Source organism: Homo sapiens, chromosome 4, assembly GCF_000001405.40.
Source record: "Homo sapiens chromosome 4, GRCh38.p14 Primary Assembly".
NCBI classification, from domain to species: domain Eukaryota; kingdom Metazoa; phylum Chordata; class Mammalia; order Primates; family Hominidae; genus Homo; species Homo sapiens.
The window spans coordinates 90223959-90247842 of record NC_000004.12 but is presented as its reverse complement, the minus strand read 5'-3'; the positions used below and the strand labels follow the sequence as shown (position 1 = coordinate 90247842).

General features: G+C 38.0%; 1 protein-coding gene across 37 annotated transcripts in view; it reads right to left on the bottom strand.

Annotated features, from left to right (window-relative positions):
- CCSER1 (coiled-coil serine rich protein 1) overlaps positions 1-23884 on the bottom strand; it is a 1477902-nt gene that overhangs the window by 1357453 nt on the left and 96565 nt on the right. For 2 of the 37 annotated variants that reach the window (XM_011531937.3, NM_207491.2), the window contains exon 1: positions 12500-12812. The exons of the other annotated variants lie outside the window; for them this stretch is intronic. The gene's annotated coding sequence lies outside the window, so the exon portion shown is untranslated. Of the gene's footprint in view, positions 1-12499; positions 12813-23884 lie in introns of those variants that run through there. 37 annotated transcript variants of the gene reach the window in all.

Here is a 23884-nt window from a genome sequence, read left to right as displayed (position 1 = left end):
CCAGCTAGTCTAAAAATAAAAGAAGTGCAAAGGAGGAATTCATATATAATATATATAAAACTGACTATATATTAAAATAACTGTAGAATTCATTTAATAGCCCAGATATCTCCCTATAAATACGTAATTTATTATATATTCCTAATTATACGTTTAGTCTGGATTTACATTATACTAAGATGGTCGCTTCCATTCTCTCTTGGTATAGAAACATGTTTTCCAAATTCAAAGTAGCAGTACTAATTTTAAATGATCTGTAATACTTTCTCAGTTTTCAAACTAAAAATCCCATGTTTACATTAACTGATTAGTTTAATTCTATGGAAAATTATGCTTTAAAATAAAATCTGATGGTGTGAAAAGTCAGTCACTTTAATATTCACTGCATTTCTCACAACAAGTTTTCTTCAATATATTTTCTTGTTATATTTTCTATCTATATTATTCCGATATTGTTGTGAATTATTATTCACATAGCAACCAGGATGTATCAACAACTACGACAAGTTCCCTTTTACCTGTCCTCAACTCTGTACGAGATAAGAATTTGATAAAGATTTTATGCCTAATGTTTGCTATGGGATGGAGCTGCAGTTTTGCTTTCCACAGTTTCAGTCACTCGCTGCCAATGGCAATCTAAAAATATTAACTTGAATATTCCATAAATAAACAATTCATTAGTTTTAAATTATATGCCATTCTGAGGAGCATGATGAAATCTCACAGTATCCTGCTTTGTTCCTCATGTGAATCATCCCTTTGTCCAACAGATTCATGCTGTAGGCGCTACCTGCCCTTTAGTCATTTTGTAGCTGAGTAGGTTATCATATCAACTGTGCTTGTGTTCAAAGAACCTTTTTTTTACTTAATAATGGCCCCCGTGATGCTGGCCATTTGGATATGTCAAAGAGAAGCCGCAAAGTGTTTCCTTTAAGTGAAAAGGTGAAAGTTCTCAACCTAATAAAGAAAGAAAAAAAAACCCTATAGTGAGGTTAGCTAAGATCAACAGTACAATAAGATATTTTGAAAGAAAGAAATAGACCACATTCACATAACTTCTTACATAGATGTTATAATTGTTCTATTTTATTATTAGTTATTGTTAATCTCTTACTGGGCCTAATTTATATATTAAACTTTATCATAGGTACATATGTTGGGAATTAGAAAGTATGCTTTATGAAAGCAGGGATTGCATCCATCTGTTTTCATTGCTGTACCCAGCAGTGAAATAGAATACCAAGCACCAGCAGAGACTCAATAAACATTTCAAGCAATAAATTTTTACTGAGAACAGGAGAAAAAGAGTTCCGACAAAAGCCATTCTTGTTGGACTGGGTTTACTACATGCTCTTATAGTAGTCCATTGTTAGTTGAGAATTAACTACAGTGTTTTTATTTGTATCTCCTAAAAATAAGAGGAATTGTATAAAAATGAGTAAACTTTGTATTTTAGTCAGCAAGGCACTAAAAATGATAAGTACAGAAACAAAGGCACATGTTAACAAACCAATCAAACCAAACAGGGTTGAAATTTGATTTTGCCACTTTTTAACTGTACGACCTTGAAAAAAGTTTGACTTGTCTGAACCTTAATTACCTCATGTGTAAAATGAGGAATACACACACACACATACACATTATTTTTAAGGACAAAATGTTGCTAAAAATCAAAATGGTAATGTGTGAAATGTAACTATAAAATTGCAGATGCTTAATAAAGACTACATTATCTTTGAAATACCAATCCACAATTAGCCACAGGATGTCAGTTGATCAACTGGCTTGTAATCCTAGTAAATAATAATTCTCCCTCCTATGACAGGCGTGACTATTTCAGGATGACTGAATATTTACAGAACAATATTAACTATCTTATCTCTAATTTCCATTTATAGTTATTCCCTAAGGAGAAAACAAACACACAAAAGGCTGCTTTTTTTTCACTTTTCTTAGGCTATTAGATTCCTTGTGGTTGCAAATATTTTATAATGTGTTCTTGGACAACTAAATTAGATAGAAAAGCCCAACATTTTGAGCTAAAAATCATCACTGCACTTGTCCTTTTCACCCTTTGTTTCACAAACACCAGAAGGTGAAGGAGAGAGTATATGAAGTTGGTCTGAAGGAAGTCAGTTATAGAGCCAAAAACAGAAACACTATAAACTGTTTCAACTAAAAATTCTTCATATATAGATCCATGTACCCATTTGGAAATATAACATAAAGGTTACCTTGATGTTCAATCGTCATTTTTACAAAAGTGCTCTGATTTTTACAAGACATAAGAAATAAAAACTCTGTAGTTAATTCTACACTAACAATGGGCTGTTATAAGAGCATGCGATAAGTCCAACCCAACAATAATGTCTTTTTCCTGACCTCTGTGACTTATAAGAAGGAAGCCTAAAGATCCTACCATGACCTTAGAGAAGGGGTCAGCTACCAGCACCTTGTTTCAGCTGAGGACACTAATTACACCACAAAAGAACAGCAACAAAAATCAGGCTAAATTTTTTCAAGAGCTATAAAGCATTGGACATATTTAGCCTAAAAACATAATGAAAATTATTTTTTAAATGTCATTCACAATTTAAAAACTGTGTGAACAAGTAGGCCTTTCATGATGTTTAAAATTCCCTTGATTTTTCTTTCTAAAAATTCAGAAAAATATAATCTCCAGTACATACAATAATCAGCATCAAATATATCACTTTAATATTTCAAATTAAAAGAAGCTACATTTGTTGTGCATCGTTTTGATGCCAGTTACTTTTTTATTCATTACTACAGTTAATCCTCATAAAAACCTTACATGAAGAGATAGTATTATTTTTATTTTGTAAGTGAAGAAACATCTTAATGAGATTACTCTGTGGCTAAATTCACAGAGCTAATGACAGAGCTGGAATTCAAACCAAGGTCGTGTGACTCTAAAGCTCATTTTCTATTCACCTGTCTATGATACCTCTAAACATATTTCTAAGCAATTTTTATGACATATACATTTTTAGACTGATATGGTTAGGCTTTGTGTCCCCACGCAAATCTCATTCTGAATTGTAATCCCCAGGTGTTGAAGGAGAGACCTGGTAGGAAGTGACTGGATTATGGGGGCGGTTTCCCCATGCTGTTCTCATAATAGTGAGTGAACTCTCATGAGATCTGATGGTTTTATAAATGGCAGCTTTTCCTGCATCCTCACTTCTCTCTCCTGCCACCACGTGAAGAAGGTCCTTGCTTCCCCTTCCCCTTCTGCCATAATTATAAGTTTCCTGAGGCCTCCCCAGCCATGTGGAGCTGTGAGTCAATTAAACCTCTTTCCTTTATAAATTACCCAGTCTCAGGTATTTTTTTATGGCATTGTGAGAACAGACTAATACATAGGTCTTTCTAGCAAAGCATTTAACCTCTGCCTGATAATATCACAACAGTTCCTTATTAAAACAATTGATAAATGTTTCTAATGCTGGACCATTTGTCAGGGCACTTACTGATGAGAATGTAATATTTCTTATTCTAAACTGGTAAATTTGCCTATTAAAACAGACTCATCTTGCCAAGTTTAGAAACTCCATGAGTCCATTAAGCATCTTACTTGTTACATTTAGCAAAACTCTATCTCATAATTTTCTCTCCACTCACAATAGTCAGATGTTTAACCTACAATATCTGTTAAATAACCTCTGTGTGCAGCCTCTCTCATTAAGAGAAAATAATACAATCTTTAAGAAACTCGTTTTCTAATTGGAAAAGTATGATAAATAATCCTCAAAATACTCAAAATATTCATTGGTATAATGAGATAACAGAAAACAAAAGGGATTATTCACTATTGTGATAATTATTTTCATTTCTATTCTAGTTAAGAAGCAAAGTTTAATAAGAATCTATAAATAAGTCATAACGTTGAAATAAACACACTTAATTTTTGTTATGTGTACCAAGAGGTTAACAGGAAAATACCAGTGAATGCTACAACAGCGAAAAAAAAAAAGGTTCCCACTTGTAAGAGAAGTAATAATTTTTTAAAAAATTATAATATATTCACCCTGCTTATTTATGTCACATTTTCGTTTTCACCTGTGTATGCACTTTAGGGAAAAACATAATGAAAGTCAAGTGACTATATATGTAATGGAAATTACCAGCTGAGGGCTGATATGGTGGCACATGTCTGTAACCCCAGCGCTTTGGGAGGTTGAGACTGTAGGATTGTTTGAGGCCAGGAGTTCAAGACTAGCCTGGGCAACAAAGCAAGACCCCCCACCTCCCCAAAATAAAAAATAAAAACATGGCCGGGAGCAGTGGCTCACACCTGTAATCCCAACACTCTGGGAGGCTGAGGCAGGTGAATCATGAGGTCAGGAGTTCAAGACCAGCCTGACCAACATGGTGAAACCCCATCTCTACTAAAAATACAAAAATTAGCTGAGCATGGTGGCACGCTCCTGTAATCCCAGCTACTCAGGAGGCTGAAGCAGGAGAATTGCTTGAACCCGGGAGACGGAGGTTGCAGTGAGTCTAGATTGTCCCACTGCATTCCAGCCTGGGCAACAGAGCGAGACTCCATCTCAAAAAAATAGTAAATAAATAAATAAGTAAATAAAAACAGGACTGGCATAGTGATGTGCACTTGTAGTCCTAGCTGCTTGGGAGGCTGAGGCAGAAGGATTACTTCAGCCCAGGAGTTTGAAGCTGCAGTGAGCTATGACCACACCACTACACTTCAGCCTGGACAAGAGACCAAGATCCTATTTTAAAAAAAAAAAAAAAAAAAGAGAGAGAGAGAAAAGAGAGAGAGATCAACTAGCTGAATATTCAGTCTTTAAATTCCACATGGAATTTATGAAATTATCAAGTCCCCAGCACATCAAGAACCAAGCAGTTTCACTATTTTTAATTTTTAGAAGCCACACTATGTAGTAGAAAGGGCCTGGGCTTTGAGGATGTGCAATCTAAGATTTGTATCTCTGTTCATTACTTTTGGCTGTATGACCTTGTGCAAGTCCCTTGTGGTGTTTGAACTTGTATTTAAAACTTACAACAGGTCCTGAATAATTTGTATCTTAGTGAAACGATCAGTAAAAACAACTAATTGTGTGCATATCAGTCACATACCTAGTGGACACTCAATAAACGTGCTCTATAATTAATTGTTATCCTTATAACCAAAGGGGAAAAATCATTTTTGTAAGCTTAGTTTTCACAGAGCCATGGAAATGATGCATTTTGTGGTTATCTGCTAACTGATAGCTTACTACATTGTTCACTAGGTTCATGTTCTTGTCCATCATTTTATTATCTCTTCAATACACTCATTTATTATCATCATCCTTTTCATATGCTTTTTTGTTCTAAATAAATTGTATACTTTTGACTCAATTATTTTGTACATTTCTTCGTACTATAGTATAAAAAATATCAACAGTTTAAAAGCTACAGATTTTAAGTTCCTTAACATTGGGAATAGTGCCTAAGAGTACTCCTAGGTCCACTACATTTATGCTTTGTTCTTTTCTTTTCTTTTCTTTTTGAGACGGAGTCTTGCTCTGTAGCCCAGGCTAGAGTGCACTGGCACAATCTCGGCTCACTGCAAGCTCCGTCTCCCATGCTCAGATGATTCTCCTGCCTCAACCTCCCAAGTAACTGGGATTACAGGCATGCACCACCATGCCCAGCTAATTTTTTTTATTTTTAGTAAGACCGGATTTCACCATGTTGGCCAGGCTGGTCTTGAACTCCTGACCTCAAGTGATCTGCCCACCTCGGCTTCCAAAAGTGCTGGGATTATAGGTGGGAGCCACTGCGCCCAGCCTATGCTTTGTTATTTTCATGGTAGATAAAGGTAAATTCATTCACAGATCTTAAATTCAGGGTTAGTAGATTTAACTAACTAGATTTGATGATAGAAGATTCTTAGAATACAATTTCATACCAAAGCATATTTCTTGTCCTATAATCATTCCATTACTAATTTTATAGATATGAATCATAATAGTTTTTATAGCATCACCTATTTTCCATATTACAATTAAACCATTTGTACTTAAGTATTAGTTTCTCAATGTTAATGCTCCTGCAACACTCTTAAAAATGTAATTGCTAACAATTTATCTGTTGGATTTATTCATGTTGGCATTTTTTTAACCACGTGTATCCCTTTCCTTCTTTTCCCTAAAGAAAAAAAAATAACACCCTAAGGAAAGATTACAAATCCAAAGCAAATTGTCAAAGGAATAACAGTGTTTCTAGAAAGGATTTTTTTTCTTTTAAGAAAGAATAAATGATGTATAACAAAAGTGTTCTGGCTGCTAGGAAAATAAAATGTGATTGCCATTGGTAATTCCTATGTTAAAGCAACAATAGACATAAATATTGTGAATGATTTACCATCTAGCTGTTACTGTCGTTCATAATAAACCACCATTATCTAGGAATTATTAATATGTATCTTTGTAAATATCATATTTGATACCGGCATGCACCTCTTTACCTGTCTCTTACGTATACATAATATATAATAGTTGGCAACTCATTCATACATGATTACAACAGTATATGAACATGAAAGTAAATGATAGCACCTATAAAGCACCAGAAAGCAGTCACTAATAACATTTTCTCACCTAAACCACAATAGTGGTTGTACTAATAACAGAGAAAAACAATGACTGACTAGTAACAAATTGATCTATGCACTCGCATGCTCCTTAGTGCCCTATCATCAATATTGCTCTTTAGCTTTGTGAAATGAACTATGTGCTATTACTAGTGCACACTCTGGGGCTAAACAGTTTCCTCACTTGCTTATAAAAGTGATTTAAATGGTTTTAATTAGAATAGAGTCTATTGATACACCATGAATTCCTTTGACTAAAGCTGCTCAAACACTCAAAGAATTTGAGCATATTTACAGTGGTATATGTAGACAGGCTTTCATTCCCACTGCAGAGAGCTATAGGTGGTGTCTTTGAAGGATATGGTGAAAAATAAGCACAGGCCTAAGATCAGCTACTGAAAACTAGGATAATGTGACTAATCCAGATGGACAAGTCCAAGGGGCTAAAATTGGGCACCTGAAAGCAACATGACATTCTTACGGCATTTAGAGTTGTCATTTTTGCCACAATATTAGCTATAACCAGCACCTAAATGTAAGGCAATGTGTGCTAGTTATGAATTAATTGCCTCCCAGCTCCAAATGCACTTTTCCACAAATATATGTCCTATGATCATAGATAGAATTCTTTTAAGTATTTCTTCTTTACAATGGGTGTGATGCTGAGTGTTCCCAGTAGAGGAAGCTGGAGGGACACTGCAGGAGGAAGGGGCTCTTCCATGACTTCTGGTGACACAGGAGTCAGTGATTTGGGTAGAGGTGTGAGGACATTCAGTGTAGCCCTGCCAAGCCATGCAGGGTATAAGAACGTGTGGTTGCTTGCCAATCTTGCAGTCTCAAGCTAGAGACAATCTTCCCAAGGCCTTCTCCAGAAAGAAATGCCCATCAGAGTCAGAATTCCCTCTGTAGGGCTATGGGCCATCTACCTGAAGCCCCCTCCCCTCTGGCAGTCCTCCTGAGTCCTACTGAGTCCACTACAGGCCCCATACTCTTCCCTGGAGGGTGCTCATGTCCTCTGAAACATAGCCACTGGTTTGGTTATCCATGCCGACTATTCTACTGGCCGCCAGCTTGCCCCATGACTATGGGCCATCTCTGGATGCTCAGCCAAACTCGAAAACTTCTCTGCTCTCCAGTGAGATGAATTACACCTTCTCTTTAAGATCTGATCCTCTTCCAAGTTTGTCATTCTTTGGTTACACTCCTTTAGCTTCAGGGTACCACTTAGGTTTCTCTATATCTTAGAGAGAAGTTACTCTTTTGTCATACTTTAATAATATTTTTAAATTAAACTCACTAGTTTAACCTACTATGTGGTTTTCCTCTTCAAAGTGGACTAGTTGATACACAATTCTTCTAAAACTTGGTATTGAATCAATCTGATTATGATTCACATTTGGAAATAATTACAAGCTACAACTAAGAACAAATAAAAATACAGAATTGGGGCAGGTGCAGGATCGTGCCTATAATCCCAGTACTTTGGGAGGCTGAAGCAGGAGTCACTTGAGACCAGGCGTTCGAGATTAGACTGAGCAACAATGCAAGAGCCCACATTTACAAAAAAAAATTAAAAATAATTAGCTGAGCATAGTGGTGGCTAAGGCAGGAGGACTGTTTGTGCCCAGGAGTTGGAAGCTGCAGTGAACCATAATTGTACCACTGCTCTCCAGCCTAAGTGACAGAGTGAGACTCTGCCTCTAATATATATATAACAGATCAATCTATTTAAAAGGAAAAATCAGTTGACTACACATTACAGTATCAAGTAAATGAGTTATTTTGAATATTAGCTAATAGTAGGGCTTAAATTTCAAATACATAGTGGCAATTTTTTACATTAACGTGCTGATCTTTCTATGTCAAAGATCAATGCATAAAGTGCAGTATATGTCTCAGTATCACTGAAGTGATCAATATAACTGACTGTAGCCTTCAAAATTGGTGTTGTTTACAAAGATTAACTCCTATGGGATGTATGTTTATTGTTTCCTAATTAAAGTCCAAGTGTGCTTTTAATCATGTTAAACAACTACTCAAAAAATGTGTTTTTGTTATTGACTAAAACTTTCTGGCTGGGCACGGTGGCTCACACCTGTCCCAACACTTTGGGAGGCCCAGGCAGGCGGATCACCTGCGGTCAGGAGTTCGGAACCAGCCTGGCCAACATGGTAAAACCCCGTCTCTACTAAAAATACAAAAATTAGCTGGGTGTGGTGGCAGATGCCTGTAATCCCAGCTACTCAGAAGGCTGAGGAAGGAGAATCGCTTGAACCTGGGAGATGGAGATTGCAATGAGCCGAGATCATGCCATTGCACTGCAGCCTGGGCAACAAAGTGAGACTCTGTCTCAAAAAAAAAAAAATTAATGCTAGAAGAAATCCACCAAGCTAATATTTTAAAAAGACTGTTTTCAGAAGATTTAATTCCTATAGAGCTCCATTACAGACAAAACAAAACAAAATCCAAAAGTAAATGTTCTTTATAGTATTACAGAGATCATATTGTTCAAACTGTTCATCTTGATTCTTTCAGATGTATGTGTGTGTATGTGCGCACGAGTTGAGGGGGTGTGAGAAGGAAGTGATAGGTACCCACGGCAGAAAAAAGTCACATTCAACCAGGACAGCTCTGTTTCAAGGGCAGTATCACCTGACAGTAGAAAACAGTTTAGGGTTAAAAACAAAAGCACTAACAAAACCTGCATCCTAAGCAAAATATTTCATAGAAAATGTTAGCTGTTGCATTATTTTATTTGGCAAGCTTGTTTTTCCTATGTGAGTCTTCAATACCATTTGTACAATGCCAGACTGAGCTCTCTAATACCTCACAAGCTTTACTTCATTAAGACCTTCTTGTAATCTAAAGGAATCATGTGAGGACCCTTAATAAGGTATGCAACAGAAGCAATGATTAACAGAACCCCAGACTACTCGATCACTAAAATACCATTCCTGGAGTGGATTGCTGGACATCACCATACCCCTACCTCCCCATTATCCCAGATAAACAACTGAAGTTATATAAGGTACAAGGGCTTCAAAAAAAAGGTTTGACTTTTTGAGCTACAGTAATCATTTTTTTACAAACAATGTATTCTGACAGGATTTTCCTTTTCTTATCAGCACCCTGGGATTAATATAGGTTCTCATTACCAGCACCTAGCCCAAGAATTCTCTTTCTGCTGTTGAAGGCTCGGATAAACATACAATCATTTTCACAAACACTCTAGGGAGCAAGACCACAATTTTGATTAAGAAAACTGTTGAATATTAACTAGCAGGGCTCACTGAGCAACTTGTCCTTGAAAAACACACTACACTAAACCTATTCTCAGGGAGAAATGTTGGTGTTTGACAGCTGCCACTACTCTGGAAACCTAGAATACATCTTATTATGGTAGTAGTCTTTCAGTAAAATCACCATAATTAAGATGTTGTCGTTATTTTCAATTTAACGTTCCTCTTTCACAGGTTCATAAATTCAGACGTTAAGAAAAAGTCCACCCTACGGTAGAATTCAGTTCAGACAACACTGGCTTCATATATAGGTAGGTTGTGGGCCTTCCATTTCCAAAGACTTCCCATATAGTTATGGTTTTAATTGATTATTTCCCAAATTGTTATTTTGCCTTGTTTTAATTTTCTAAGGATGTATGAATGGAAGTTTCTGTGGCCTATACGACAAAGATTAAAATTGATTTTAATCTTTTAAAATTTTCTTGGAAAAGCTATTGAGAAACACTCTGCTCAAGTAAGAGCTCTGAATTCAACTACTTTCAAATCTCATCTCCTTAAACAGGTTTACAGCATAAGAAAAACATTTATCTAGGAAAAAAACTCTAAGCACAGCACAGAAAGTTCTTACACATACTGTTAAAAGGAAACGAAAACATTAAATGCAGATGACAGAGGGGATATTAAGTACTCATAAACTCTAATATTTATAAATGCCATTTGTCTTCCTACAAATTTCGAAATTCTTACTCTACAATTTTAAGTACATTAAGAGAACATTAGCATCTTCATGCAGATAAAAGACAGAAATTCCCATTAAAAACTAAAAATGAAGGAGAATCAGAAATGTAAGACAATTATATTTGATTTCTCTCTGCACTGCTTTCTCATCTTTATTTTACCTATAAATAGACTTCTTTACAATATACTCTGGCATGTAGCTCGCAAAATATAACAAAACCCATATCCATATTGAGATGTTTAAACACAGTACCATCACTGGTTTGTTTTTTATGAATCATATACTAACACATTTTTCTTTCATTCCAACTTTAAAATTAAGAAAACCTAATCAAATAAAAAGAAAAATGCGTGCTAAATATACACACATACACACATATAGGATACACATATACACACACAGTATGACAACATCTAACATGTTATGATAACTTTAAATATAAATACATCCCAAAATTCCCGCAAATTTTTTAATAAAATTACATTCCTAAAAACAATAACATTTCTCATGAAATTTACTGAAAAAAAAAATTAGAGTCCTAGATGCAAATTCACTCCACAAATCAATAATTTGGAAAACCAAGAACCTCACCTTATTCTAAATGCAAATTACTTACCATATTATTTACCAATCCCCATATTCTCAATTAGGGAAAATAAAACACAAAACTCTCAATTGTTATTATCCCAGGTGGAATAGAAATATAAACTTTCACTGGCCTCAAATAAGAAAACAGATTGTTTCGCCCTTAAGAAAAATAAAATAGTCCTTGATGCAGAATATCTTCATCAAGATTTTAATACAACTTTTTCTTTTACCCCCACCCCCTGTCCCACTAAACTACTGGTAAACAATTTGTTTTGTAAGCATCTGGCATAGAACTTAGAGCTCTTTTCTCCTCATATGCTTTTCTCGATTAAGAAAAAAGTTCAAACAGGCTTTTGCTTTCAGTTAAGACAATAAAGAATTCAACAACATAAGATTCTTTTCCTCCAGTTAAAAATTCTTTATTTTAGCCAGGCGCAGTGGCTTACGGCTGTCATCCCAACATTTTGCGAGGCCACAGCGGGAGGACTGCTTGAGCTCAAGAGTTCAAGAGCAGCGTGAGCAACATCTCTACAAAAAATTAAAAATTAGCCAAGCATCGTGGCATGCATCTGAAGTCCCAGCTACTTGGGGGCACTAAGGTGGGAGGATGTCTTGAGCCTGGGAGGTCAAGGCTGCAGTAAGCCATGATCATGCCACTGCATTCCAGCCTGGGAGACACAATGAGACACTCTCTCAAAAAAAAATTACTTATTTTGCATGTTTTTAGTAAATAGAGCTTTGTAAATTTGAATGCTGTTTTCTTATTTTCCAGGTTTGATAGACTATTGCCCTTCTTCTGAGTTAGGGTTGGAAGCAAAAGTAAAAAGTAAACCACTCCCACTAACAAAATCATCTTGTCCCTTGGTAAGCTTTTTGATATGAGGTATATGAATTATTGACAGAGCTTCAAATATAGACCTGAATTTTTGAACTCTAGTATTTTTTTTTTTACAAAAGCACACTGAAACCACTCTTGGTTAATACCAAAGCTATTTACACTTGCATAGTAATTCTTTAATAATTATCATGATTCAATTTTTGCACAGATAACTAAGTATAAATTTATATGTTTCAGGATTATGAAATGTGAGTGATTTCTTTCAAACTAAAATATCTAATGTAGTTAAGACTAAATTATGTTCATTCTAGGGTTCGAGTGTTTATGTTCCTGTTTCCAGGGCTAGTGGATCATTGCATGAAATAAGAGCCTATGGGAAAAGAAATCTCAGAGGAAGAAGGGAAAAGAAAAACGAGGTGCACATGTTTGGTTCAAGGCCAGTTGTCCCAGATGCTAGAGAAGATAAAACATACCTCCAATTGTCTTCTATCCCAGGCTTCATGGGCTTAAGCTTGAGTCCTAAGGCAAAGGATCTACAGGTAATGAGCAAGTGAAATCTAAAAGCAGCTGCTTGTCTATGGAATCACCCTGGGACATGGAGAGCCCAAGGCATCAGCAGAATTGGCACTGGCAGCAGCAGGGCTTGCAGTGTTGGCAGCAGCACTAATGACAGCAGCGGTGCAGTTAGTGATAACAACATATTTGGCAGCAGCAAGAGTTCATTTAACTCCTTATACATTAGCTCCCTGCACCTCGAGCATACACAGCCCCGGTCTCGATGGTAACAGAGATGGCAGACAACAGTAGAAGCCGCAGCAGCAGCAGTTTCTTCTGTGCTAACCAGCAGCACTTTCGTCTCCCAGTGACTGAGAGCAGAGCAAAGGAAGTAGGAAAATAGAAAAGTTGAGGAAACATAATGGTCATGACGGGATGGAACTTACAGCCAGCCATAACTGGGTTAAAACTAAGGACTGCCATTTAATTATCACACAGTTTTTAAAAGTGAGTTACAGTGACACTGCTCAAATTTAACCTCTCTATGCCTCAAATTTATTGTGTATAAGATGGAAATAATAACAGTCCCCATCTAATATGATTGTGATAATGTTTAATGAGATAATTTAAATAAATAACTTAGCAGAGTATCTGTCAGATAATAGGGACTCAATAATGATCAGCTTGAAAAATGTAGAGGGCAACTCAAAAACTCAGTGTGCCTTGAGGCCTATTTCTTCCCACCAGGTCTCACAGAATGTATCAATGGACTCCAGAAGCATTTTCAAAAGAATAAGAAAGGTTGGGCCAGGCGCAGTCGCTCAAGCCTGTAATCCTAGCACTTTGGGAGGCCAAGGCGGGCGGATCATCTGAGGTCAGGAGGCCAAGACCAGCCTGGCCAACGTAGTGAAACCTCATCTCTACTAAAAATACAAAAATTAGCTGGGCGTGGTGGCGGGCACCTGTAATCCCAGCTATTTGGGAGGCTGAGGTAGGAGAATTGCTTGAGCTAGGGAGCAAAACTTTGCAGTGAGCTGAGATCATGCCATCACACTCCAGCCTGGGTGACAAGAGCGAGACACCATCTCAAAAGAAAAAAAAAAAAAAGAATAAGAGAGGCTGAGGTACGCAGAGGCCCACCCAGATAAATGTTAAATTTCAGCAATTATTTTTGCCCTAGATCCCCCTGTATAAATACAAGAGGTCTGGAAATACAAAGGCTGCCTAATATTATTATTTTCGGATTTAAAATTTCAAACCTCAAAAGTATTTGTTTTCCATTGATATCATATAAGCACAACATTTTTTAAATGTTTATTTTTAAAAGTAACCTTAAAACACTTTATTACATCTCAAGATTAAGAAGTAAATTTCAGCACATTTTAATAGAAACAACGTATGTAAGAAAGGCATAATTTAATTGTGTCCAATAAATGATTTTTATTATTTATGTTGTTATGTGCTAATTATCCAAGATCTCAGTGCATCATTCATATTGAAACATATTAATAGAACAAAATAAAAAAATACTTTTCAAATGATAATAAACAGCACCATGATTTCTACTGCTTTTTCTATAATAATTTTCTCTTTTTTTTTTTTTTATGGCCACTTCACTGCGAAGGCTTTTATACCCTCAAGATTGGTCTAAGGTTCATAAGGCCAGTTTGTTTTGTTTTTTTTTTTTAATTTATTATTATTATACTTTAAGTTTTAGGGTACATGTGCACAATGTGCAGGTTAGTTACATATGTATACATGTGCCATGCTGGTGTGCTGCACCCACTAACTCATCATCTAGCGTTAGGTATATCTCCCCATGCTATCCCTCCCCACTTTCCCCACCCCACAACAGTCCCCAGAGTGTGATGTTCCCCTTCCTGTGTCCATGTGTTCTCATTGTTCAATTCCCACCTATGAGTGAGAATATGCGGTGTTGGGTTTTTTGTTCTTGTGATAGTTTACTGAGAATGATGATTTCCAATTTCATCCGTGTCCCTACAAAGGACATGAACTCATCATTTTTTATGGCTGCATAGTATTCCATGGTGTATATGTGCCACATTTTCTTAATCCAGTCTATCATTGTTGGACATTTGGGTTGGTTCCAAGTCTTTGCTATTGTGAATAATGCCGCAATAAACATACGTGTCATGTCTCTTTATAGCAGCATGATTTATAGTCCTTTGGGTATATACCCAGTAATGGGATGGCTGGGTCAAATGGTATTTCTAGTTCTAGATCCCTGAGGAATCGCCACACTGACTTCCACAATGGTTGAACTAGCTTACAGTCCCACCAACAGTGTCAAAGTGTTCCTATTTCTCCACATCCTCTCCAGCACCTGTTGTTTCCTGACTTTTTAATGATTGCCATTCTAACTGGTGTGAGATGGTATCTCATTGTGGTTTTGATTTGCATTTCTCTGATGGCCAGTGATGGTGAGCATTTTTTCATGTGGTTTTTGGCTGCATAAATGTCTTCTTTTGAGAAGTGTCTGTTCATGTCCTTCACCCACTTTTTGATGGGGTTGTTTGTTTTTTTCTTGTAAATTTGTTTGAGTTCATTGTAGATTCTGGATATTAGCCCTTTGTCAGATGAGTAGGTTGTGAAAATTTTCTCCCATTTTGTAGGTTGCCTGTTCACTCTGATGGTAGTTTCTTTTGCTGTGCAGAAGCTCTTTAGTTTAATTAGATCCCATTTGTCAATTTTGGCTTTTCTTGCCATTGCTTTTGGTGTTTTAGACATGAAGTCCTTGCCCATGCCTATGTCCTGAATGGTACTGCCTAGGTTTTCTTCTAGGGTTTTTATGGTTTTAGGTCTAACATTTAAGTCTTTAATCCATCTTGAATTGATTTCTGTATAAGGTGTAAGGAAGGGATCCAGTTTCAGCTTTCTACATATGGCTAGCCAGTTTTCCTAGCACCATTTATTAAATAGGGAATCCTTTCCCCATTGCTTGTTTTTGTCAGGTTTGTCAAAGATCAGATAGTTGTAGATATGCGGCATTATTTCTGAGGGCTCTGTTCTGTTCCATTGATCTACATCTCTGTTTTGGTACCGGTACCATGCTGTTTTGGTTACTGTAGCCTTGTAGTATAGTTTGAAGTCAGGTAGTGTGATGCCTCCAGCTTTGTTCTTTTGGATTAGGATTGACTTGGCGATGTGGGCTCTTTTTTGGTTTCATAGGAACTTTAAAGTAGTTTTTTCCAATTCTGTGAAGAAAGTCAGTGGTAGCTTGATGGGGATGGCATTGAATCTATAAATTACCTTGGGCAGAATGGCCATTTTCAAGATATTGATTCTTCCTACCCATGAGCATGGAATGTTCTTCCATTTGTTTGTATCCTCTTTTATTTCCTTGAGCAGTGGTTTGTAGTTCTCCTTGAAGAGGTCCTTCACATCCCTTGTAAGTTGGATTCCTAGGTATTTTATTCTCTTTGAAGCAATTGTGAATGGGAGTTCACTCATGATTTGGCTCTCTGTTTGTCTGTTGTTGGTGTATAAGAATGCTTGTGATTTTTGTACATTGATTTTGTATCCTGAGACTTTGCTGAAGTTGCTTAGCAGCTTAAGGAGATTTTGGGCTAAGACAATGGAGTTTTCTAGACATACAATCATGTCATCTGCAAACAGGGACAATTTGACTTCCTCTTTTCCTAATTGAATACCCTTTATTTCCTTCTCCTGCCTGATTGCCCTGGCCAGAACTTCCAACACTATGTTGAATAGGAGTCGTGAGAGAGGGCATCCCTGTCTTGTGCCAGTTTTCAAAGGGAATGCTTCCAGTTTTTGCCCATTCAGTATGATATTGGCTGTGGGTTTGTCATAGATAGCTCTTATTATTTTGAGATACGTCCCATCAATACCTAATTTATTGAGAGTTTTTAGCATGAAGGGTTGTTGAATTTTGTCAAAGGCCTTTTCCGCATCTATTGAGATAATCATGTGGTTTTTGTCTTTGGTTCTGTTTATATGCTGGATTACATTTATTGATTTGCGTATATTGAACCATCCTTGCATCCCAGGGATGAACCCACTTGATCATGGTGGATAAGCTTTTTGATGTGCTGTTGGATTCAGTTTGCCAGTATTTTATTGAGGATTTTTGCATCAATGTTCATCAAGGATATTGGTCTAAAATTGTCTTTTTTGGTTGTGTCTCTGCCCGGCTTTGCTATCAGGATGATGCTGGCCTCATAAAATGAGTTAGGGAGGATTCCCTCTTTTTCTGTTGATTGGAATAGTTTCAGAAGGAATGGTATCAGTTCCTCCTTGTACCTCTGGTAGAATTCAGCTGTGAATCCATCTGTTCCTGGACTCTTTTTGGTTGGTAAGGTATTGTTTATTGCCACAATTTCAGATCCTGTTATTGGTCTATTCAGAGATTCAACTTCTTCCTGGTTTAGTCTTGGGAGAGTGTATGTGTCAAGGAATTTATCCATTTCTTCTAGATTTTCTGGTTTATTTGCGTAGAGGTGTTTGTAGTATTCTCTGATGGTAGTTTGTATTTCTGTGGGATTGGTGGTGATATCCCCTTTATCATTTTTTATTGCGTCTATTTGATTCTTCTCTCTTTTTTTCTTTATTAGTCTTGCTAGCGGTCTATCAATTTTGTTGATCCTTTCAAAAAACCAGCTCCTGGATTCATTAATTTTTTGAAGGGTTTTTTGTGTCTCTATTTCCTTCAGTTCTGCTCTGATTTTAGTTATTTCTTGCCTTCTGCTAGCTTTTGAATGTGTTTGCTCTTGCTTTTCTGGTTCTTTTAATTGTGATGTTAGGGTGTCAATTTTGGATCTTTCCTGCTTCCTCTTGTGGGCATTTAGTGCTATAAATTTCCCTCTACACACTGCTTTGAATGCATCCCAGAGATTCTGGTATGTTGTGTCTTTGTTCTCGTTGGTTTCAAAGAACATCTTTATTTCTGCCTTCATTTCGTTATATACCCAGTAGTCATTCAGGAGCAGGTTGTTCAGTTTCCATGTAGTTGAGCGGTTTTGAGTGAGTTTCTTCATCCTGAGTTCTAGTTTGATTGCACTGTGGTCTGAGAGACAGTTTGTTATAATTTCTGTTCTTTTACATTTGCTGAGGAGAGCTTTACTTCCAAGTATGTGGTCAATTTTGGAATAGGTGTGGTGTGGTGCTGAAAAAAATGTATATTCTGTTGATATGGGGTGGAGAGTTCTGTAGATGTCTATTAGGTCCGCTTGGTGCAGAGCTGAGTCCAACTCCTGGATATCCTTGCTAACTTTCTGTCTCGTTGATCTGTCTAATGTTGACAGTGGGGTGTTAAAGTCTCCCATTATTATTGTGTGGGAGTCTAAGTCTCTTTGTAGGTCGCTCAGGACTTGCCTTATGAATCTGGGTGCTCCTATTTTGGGTGCATATATATTTAGGATAGTTAGCTCTTCTTGTTGAATTGATCCCTTTCCCATTATGTAATGGCCTTCTTTGTCTCTTTTGATCTTTGTTGGTTTAAAGTCTGTTTTATCAGAGACTAGGATTGCAACCCCTGCCTTTTTTTGTTTTCCATTTGCTTCGTAGATCTTCCTCTATCCTTTTATTTTGAGCCTACGTGTGTCTCTGCATGTGAGATGGGTTTCCTGAATACAGCACACTGATGGGTCATGACTCTTTATCCAATTTGCCAGTCTGTGTCTTTTAATTGGAGCATTTAGTCCAGTTACATTTAAAGGTAATATTGTTATGTGTGAATTTGATCCTGTCATTATGATGTTAGCTGGTTATTTTGCTCATTAGTTCATGCAGTTTCTTCCTAGTCTCGATGGTCTTTACATTTTGGCATGATTTTGCAGCGGCTGGTATCAGTTGTTCCTTTCCATGTTTGGCACTTCCTTCAGGAGCACTTTTAGGGCAGGCCTCGTGGTGACAAAATCTCTCAGCATTTGCTTGTCTGTAAAGTATTTTATTTCTCCCTCACTTATAAAGCTTAGTTTGGCTGGATATGAAATTCTGGGTTGAAAATTCTTTTCTTTAAGAATGTTGAATATTGGCCCCCACTCTCTTCTGGCTTGTAGAATTTCTGCTGAGAGATCTGCTGTCAGTCTGATGGGCTTCCCTTTGTGGGTAACCCGACCTTTCTCTCTGGCTGCCCTTAACATATTTTCCTTCATTTCAACTTCAATGAATCTGACAATTATGTGTCTTGGAGTTGCTCTTCTCGAGGAGTAGCTTTGTGGCGTTCTCTGTATTTCTGAATCTGAATGTTGGCCTGCCTTGCTAGATTGGGGAAGTTCTCCTGGATGACATCCTGCAGAGTGTTTTCCAACTTGGTTCCATTCTCCCCATCACTTTCAGTTACACCAATCAGACGTAGATTTCGTCTTTACACGTAGTCCCATATTTCTTGGAGGCTTTGCTCGTTTCTTTTTATTCTTTTTTCTCTAAAGTTCCCTTCTTGCTTCATTTCATTCACTTCATCTTCCATCGCTGATACCCTTTCTTCCAGTTGATCGCATCGGCTCCTGAGGCTTCTGCATTCTTCACGTAGTTCTCGAGCCTTGGTCTTCAGCTCCATCAGCTCCTTTAAGCACTTCTCTGTATTGGTTATTCTAGTTATACATTCTTCTAAACTTTTCTCAAAGTTTTCAACTTCTTTGCCTTTGGTTTGAATTTCCTCCTGTAGCTCGGAGTAATTTGATCATCTGAAGCCTTCTTCTCTCAGCTCGTCAAAGTCATTCTCCGTCCAGCTTTGTTCCGTTGCTGGTGATGAATTATGTTCCTTTGGAGGAGGAGAGGCGCTCTGCGTTTTAGAGTTTCCAGTTTTTCTGCTCTGTTTTTTCCCCATCTTGGTGGTTTTATCTACTTTTGGTCTTTGATGATGGTGATATACAGATGGGTTTTTGGTGTGGATGTCCTTTCTGTTTTAGTTTTCCTTCTATCTGACAGGACCCTCAGCTGCAGGTCTGTTGGAGTACCCAGCCCTGTGAGGTGTCAGTCTGCCCCTGCTGGGGGGTGCCTCCCAGTTAGGCTGCTCGGGGGTCAGGGGTCAGGGACCCACTTGAGGAGGCAGTCTGCCCGTTCTCAGATCTCCAGCTGCGTGCTGGGAGAAACACTGCTCTCTTCAAAGCTGTCAGACAGGGACATTTAAGTCTGCAGAGGTTACTGCGGTCTTTTTGTTTGTGTGTGCCCTGCCCCCAGAGGTGGAGCCTCCAGAGGCAGGCAGGCCTCCTTGAGCTGTGGTGGGCTCCACCCAGTTGGAGCTTCCCGGCTGCTCTGTTTACCTAAGCAAGCCTGGGCAATGGCGGGCGCCCCTCCCCAAGCCTCGCTGCCACCTTGCAGTTTGATCTCAGACTGCTGTGCTAGCAATCAGTGAGACTCCATGGGCGTAGGACCCTCCGAGCCAGGTGCGGGATATAATCTCCTGGTGCGGCGTTTTTTAAGCCCGTCGGAAAAGCGCTGTATTCGGGTGGAAGTGACCCGATTTTCCAGGTGCCATCTGTCACCCCTTTCTTTGACTAGGAAAGGGAACTCCCTGACTCTTTGCGCTTCCCGAGTGAGGCAATGCCTCGCCCTGCTTCGGCTCGTGCATGGTGCGCGCACCCATTGACTTGCGCCCACTGTCTGGCACTCCCTAGTGAGATGAACCCAGTACCTCAGACGAAAATGCAGAAATCACCCATCTTCTGCGTCGCTCACGCTGGGAGCTGTAGACCAGAGCTGTTCCTATTCGGCCATCTTGGCTCCTCCCCCCATAAGCTCTATAATAATTTTCAATGTTAATGCTACTTGCTCGGAAAATTCCTCATAGCTGAATACATGTTGCAAGGTGCTTAATTTAAATAGATGTCTTTTACTAAATACTGATGTATATCCACCTTTTGTGCTATGTTTAGCAGATTCAAATGACTCTGTGTAGTTACAAATATTAGGAAGTAAAATAAATTTTAAGGACTATAAGACGAATGCAATTTTGCAATTCGGCAAAAAACACAGATTTCCCAAAGTATAAAGTTGGTGATTTAGACAGATGTCTTCTCTACTTCAAAAGGCATCTCATGCAGTAAAACACACTAAGTTTTCTTAGAATTGTTGTAAAATGATTATCCAACTCTACCTAAAAGCAAACAAACTACAGATCATATTAATCTGATAGATTTGCCATTTTAGTTCTCTCAACTGTACCTTGCTCAGAAGCAGATGCTGAGCCAGAGTTAGAAGTACGAGATTGCTGGGAGTAACACCAGGAAAGGTAAAGGGGAATGAAAAAGGGTTATGCAGAGAAAGCCTTCAGACCACAAGGCAGATCTGACATTTGTGGGGGGAAAAAAGAGGGTAAGAAGAATTGGACATGGAGAACAATGCAGGGAATGCAATAAAAATTCCACACTGTCTTGACTAACCCATGTGGCACTCTGCCAAAAAGACAACTGGTCAAGTGAATCCTACATTGGAAGAAATGGTCAGGTCCCTAGTACCCCATCATGCTCAGTCATTGGCTGGGAGATGATCTGGAAAAGTATGACCTTAGCTTGAATCCTGCAGAGGATTCTAAAGGTTTGGGAGCCAAGACCTGTCATCTATCTGTATTCCTCATAGCTGAAGAACAAGCTCTTTCTTGAAGGAAGACCAAGAAGCACACCTCCACAACAGTCACGTATCTCAACAAGGTGGAAAGCCAAAGCCCCTTTGTGAAGCACCTGTAAAGAAAGCTTCATCACACTGAAGTTAAATATATTTATTCATATGTGGATTCTCAACATGTTTTATCTTCCCATTCCTTGAATTCTCAAAACCAACTATATTCCTCTTGCAAAAGCAGCCTTCTGATAGTTGATATGAATTTTCTTATACCAACTGCATCTTCACTTGTCTAATTTTAACACCCCATATCCCTTAAATTTCTTTGCCTTTCCTAGAGGAACTAGAACCTCACCTTGCCTGAGGGCCCAGTATCTTGGGACGGGCATAGGTATGATAGAAACTAACACTCGGTCTTCAGTATATGGAGATGAAGTAAATGTGTAAGTCACTGGGTATTTCAGATATCTATTTCTACAAAACAAAACACTCCCAAATTTAATGGCTTAACATGACTGTGTATCTGCTTATGATTTTACAATCTGAGCAAGGCTCAGCTGGCTGGCTTTTCTGCTGATCTCACATAGGCCATTCATGCAGAAGCAGTTTTCTGCACACTCATTTGGGGCTGAAATCCAAAATTACCCCACTCACACACCTGGTGATTCAGCTGAGCTAGGTGGAAGAACTGCTAGCTAACCAGGCATCTCTCTCATTCTCCTTGCAGCATCTCTAATAGGGTAGCCAACCACATTGCATGATGGCCTAGGGGTCCAAGAGAGTGAAAGTGATGGCTGCCAGGCCTCTTAAAGCCCATAACTGATATAGTATTACTTATACCACATTCTATTAGTCAAAGCAAGTCACAAGTTTATCTCCTGGGTTCAAGAGGAGGAAAAATAGATCCCACTTCTTGATGAGAGAAGCAGCAAAGCATCTGTGGCCAATTTTAATCCACTACTGAAGCAAAGCTGTTATCAAACCAGTAGCATATCTAAAGCATCAATCTCCAGGGAATGAAAAGAGACAAAAATGAGGAAAACAGCAATAGATCAAAAAGTAGAGATGGCCCAGACAGAGCAAGTAGGATCTATACCAAAAGCAGGAGAGACAAATCCAGCAATAACCTAACTGTATAGCTTTAGAATCTTATTGCTATAAGACCAAAGACTAGTTCCAGCACTTATGACATTAGCCTAGTTTCATAGCCTCTATAAGCCTCTATTTTCTCAATTGCCAAATAGATAATATAATGCCCACCTCTCAGGTTGTCATGAGACTCAAATGAGATAATAGATCTATAGAAATCTGTCCCACTCAAGAGTGGAGGTTATAGTTTAGGTTGCTTGTTTTTCCATTTTTGTTTTCTTCTTAACTTTAGAATAGGTAACAGAAAGTCACTTTAGGCTGGGCATGGTGGCTCATGCCTGTAATCCCAGCACTTTAGGAGGCCATGGTGGGCAGAAGGCTTGAACCCAGGAGTCTGAGACCAGCCTGGGAAACATGGAAAAACCTTGTCTCTACAAAAAAAAAAAAAAAAAAAAAAAAATTAGCCGGGTATGCTGGTGTGCACCGGTGGTCCCAAATACTCAGGAGTCCAAGTTGGGAGGATAACTTGAACCCATGGAGGCTGAGGCTGCAGTTAGCCATGATGGTGCCACTGCACTCCAGCCTGGGCAATGGAGTGAAAACTGTCTCAAAAATAAAAAAGAAAAAAAAAAGGAAGTCATTTTAAACTCAGGAAGGGTAGAAGCAGAAAGAGTAGAACCAAATTTTGCAGGATCTTACAGGCCTGTCTTATGATTGGGAAGTTGTATACATGAGAGGGATAAGGGCCTGCACACTAAACCACTGAGAGCTGCTAGAGTACACAAGCCAGGAACTAGAAGTCTCTGATGTTCTTGGAAAATTCAGAGTCATTAAGAAATATACTAATAAGAATTAGGCTAATTATGATCCTGCCTTTATGGAGCCCTTACAGTACTGAAACTGGCACATCCCTCTGCATCAGTTTTAAATTACAAATACTACCACTCATTTATTCAAAAAAATCTGTTTTGAGTGTCTATTACATGCCAAACATTACACATTAACTGTGGAAAAGCCAGAAATCTCTTCTTCCATCGAATGTATCTTAAATCAGTGTGAAGTAAAACATACGTGTGTGTTTCATGTGTTAATCATTATGTGTGTTCCACAGTGTAATCATTTCTTTATAATAATTAGAGAATTGAAAGAAAAAATATGTTATAATAGACTGGGATAGCAAACGATAAACACAGGTGATGAACAAACTATCTAAAATATTTCCTGCCACAAAAGACACTTCTAGATAGCCAGCAGTTTTCTACTTAAGCCTATTTTCATTGTACAATGCAGCACCCCGAGTAATCCATTACAACTGCTGTTTTATAACAATATCTTCAAAATCACTTCAAATGTTTGTTAGGTGATACTGACACCCCACAAAGCAATGATAATAGAAAGGGGCATTGGGAAAAAGTGAATAAAATGCAAACTATAGAAATTCCCTTGTCATATGTCAACCTCAGGAGTCTGCCTTTTCTCCGTCTTCTGATGAATTGGGGCTCTAACAATGAACTCAAATTGATTAGCTGGGTTCTGTACACAGATAAATATAAAATCTCTAAAGATTTGTATGATACTGCTGCTAAAAATTCCAACCTATCTCTTACTAACACATGAAGAAAATATTGACTGAAAAGAGTACTAGGGCAATATGCACTTACATTAGCAACTTCCCAATCTCATAAGCTACAGTTATTCGACACATATTTACTGAGCATGTTCTATCTAGCTAG